The 2,942-nt window shown below is 40.7% G+C and overlaps 1 annotated feature.

The window, feature by feature from the left end:
* Nucleotides 517–1,023: an enhancer, noted in NCBI's record as "OCT4-NANOG hESC enhancer chr5:123777990-123778496 (GRCh37/hg19 assembly coordinates)". NCBI's record gives its function as "activates a minimal SCP1, AML or CMV promoter by ChIP-STARR-seq in naive H9 embryonic stem cells {active_cell/tissue: H9 hESC(naive)}" and the evidence as "EXISTENCE:reporter gene assay evidence [ECO:0000049][PMID:30033119]".

Below are 2,942 nucleotides of genomic sequence, written 5' to 3'. Positions count from 1 at the left end.
GATAAAAATCTTTCTCAGGCAGTTTAGCCTTTTTTCCTCTTCAGTGAAAATGCATTTTCTGGTGCTCTTTGACCTATAGGGCACAGGCTCATCTTTGAGGGAAGTAATATTAAGAATTCAGATTTGTTGCTAACTCAGTGTTGAGAAATGAACAAGCATGTGACCTCTTAGCCACTACTTCTAAATATTAGATCTATCCAATTTAGAAAATTAAACTTACAAGTCAAAATCTGGGTGTGGGGGCTTGTGCCTGTAGTCCCAACTATTTGGGAGACTGAGGCCAGAGGATCACTTGAGCCCAGGAGTTTGAGGCAGCAGTGAGCTATGATAGTGCCACACACTGCACCCCAGCCTGCGTGACAGCGTGAGACCCTGTCTCTAAAAATAGAAGAAAGAAAATTAAACTCACAGGTCTAAATACCTATAAATATCCATATCCTATTAATCCCTATCTGTTTCTCTTTTGCTCTGTGTCACATTTCATTCGTGGAGTAAAATATATTTCTAATGTCTCAACTTAAAGAAAAATTTAATACAGTACTGACAAGCATCTTTGGTCATGAAAATTATCTCCTTGCCTGAATCTAGTGCCCAGGTGAAGGGAACTTTCGTTCTGAACCCTAAAGCTTCAAGAATTTGAGTCTATAAAATAAACAGACAATAGATAGATTAGCATGAGAAAAGGCATACAAATTTGTTAACGTGCAAGGGCACAGGAGTCACACAAAGTATGAAGGGCAAGATGACTGAAGCTTGAATGCCCTCTTCATGAGGGACAGGGAAACAGGAGATTGATATGGTTTGGCTGTGTTCCCACCCAAATCTCATCTTGAATTGTAGCTCCCATAATTCCCATGTGTTGTGGGAGGGAACCAGTGGGAGATAATTGGATGATGCGGGCAGTTTCCCCCCTACTGTTCTCTTGGTAGTGGATAAGTCTCATGAGATCTGATGGTTTTATAAGGCGGTTCTCCTTTCTCTTGGCTCTCGTTCTCTTTCATCTTCATGTAAGATGTGCCTTTCACCTTTCACCATGATTGTGAGGCTTCCCCTAGCTACATGGAACTGTGATTCCATTAAACCTCTTTTTCTTTATAAATTACCCAATCTTGGGTATGTCTTTATCGGCAGCATGAAAACAGACTAACACAGAGATGTAGGCAATTTTAGAGAAAGAGTAAAGGATTTTTAGGTGGATGAATGGACCTGAAGAAAAGACAATAATCTGGGACAAAGTTCCTCTGGGCTCTGGGTGTGATGTCAATTCTAGTCTTCTTTCCTTCTAGTTAATCTTCCCGGTTTGATGAGATTATAGGGAGGAGGTCCAAGACAACTGCATTCCTTCTGGAGGAACATTGTTAGTCAGATAGGAGAATTTCAAAGGAAACCCTTCCCTGTGCTTCTGGAGGAGCAGAGGGGCAATAGACAGGAAGGCAGGAGGTCACCTTGGTGCTGAGGTTGCTTCTTTAGTTGAAAGTACTCAGCATGTCCAAGTGCCAGGCTTTGAGGTATCATTTTTCTAAGCCCCAGCACTAGTTATTTCACACATTGCCAACATGCCCAAAACATTTTGTTTTCCAAGCAATTTATTAAGACAATGACACTCCTCCTCATATTCCAGGGAATTATATTAATTATTAATGTGCACTGTATTATGTTACCATTTAGTGTAAGACACATCCTGGGTTTACTCTATGACTAGTCAGTTTGGAAGACCACCCAGCCTGGAACCCCGGGTGGTCTTGGGAAGAGCTTGGGTATTGGAAGTCAGCTCTGTATTTGGGTCCTGGCTCTCCTGCCTACCATCAGTGTGATGCCACACCATTTACTTGACTTTTTGGAACTCAATTTTCCTCTCCCTTAATAGGATTAGAAATGTATAGCATGCAGGTGAAGGACCTGGGATAATTAATTATACCAATTATATATTGGTAATATTAGTACAGCATAGAGTAGTGGTTCTAAAGTATGGTCCCCAGACCAGCAGGATCAACATCATGTATTACAAAGCAAGTTCTTGGGCTTGAACCCAGACCTACTGAATCCAAAACACTAGGGAGAGAGCTCAGCCATCTATGTTTTAGCTAAAGTTGGAAACTATTAGCAGAATGGTTAAGAGTGGAGAGCTCATTTAGAAAATTGGCTAATGCATACATTTACCTCATACAGGAGTTGTAAAGCACTCAGTGTTTGGCACTGAGTAGGCACTAGATAAATGTCAGTATTATTTACATCTGAGAAACAGAGTTTGTGTGCTGAAAACAGTATTTGAGTCAAATGTTCCTCTTAGGTAGGCAAAATATAATCGCTGCTAGGCACATGAATTTTGGACTGAGACAATGTGCGTTCAAATCTCATTTCTGCCAACATAGAAGCGATTGGTTTTGGGAAAGTGTCAAGGTCTCAATGTTCTTATCTGTAAAATGGAAATAGTAATAGTATCAACTTCAAGTAATTATAATGGCACTATAACATGAGTAGTAAGGTGTTGACAAAGATTTTCTCCTTGACCAATCTCTAGTCAGGTTATACTGATGCCTTTGCTAGACCGGACCTGACCGTAGGCTTCTGTCTCTAGCCTTGTAGAATCCGGTTTTAGCAAGAATCTTGAAAAGTTAGTTTAGAGAGAACCTCTCCCCTTGGTAATGGATGACACACACTATCTGATCAAATTCCTCATTGTCCACCATCTGCCAGCTGACGTCTGACCACTTTGGCCTGCTATCAGCAAGAATCTTGTTAGGTCAGATTAGCCAGAATCATTTTAGGCAGAATCCCCTCTTCCCATGATATTTCTTCTTAGCAATTTTCCATTCAGTGTCCCACCTCACTATAAATCTTCACTTTTCCTTATATTCAATGTTGAGCCCAATCTCTCTCCCCTACTACAAAACTGTATTGCAGCAGTATCTACTTTTATCACAATAGCCCTGAATAAAGTC

The sequence above is a fragment of the Homo sapiens genome, chromosome 5, assembly GCF_000001405.40.
Source record: "Homo sapiens chromosome 5, GRCh38.p14 Primary Assembly".
Taxonomy (NCBI): domain Eukaryota; kingdom Metazoa; phylum Chordata; class Mammalia; order Primates; family Hominidae; genus Homo; species Homo sapiens.
Note: the sequence above shows the minus strand (reverse complement) of the source record. Positions and strands in the feature narration are given on the sequence as shown.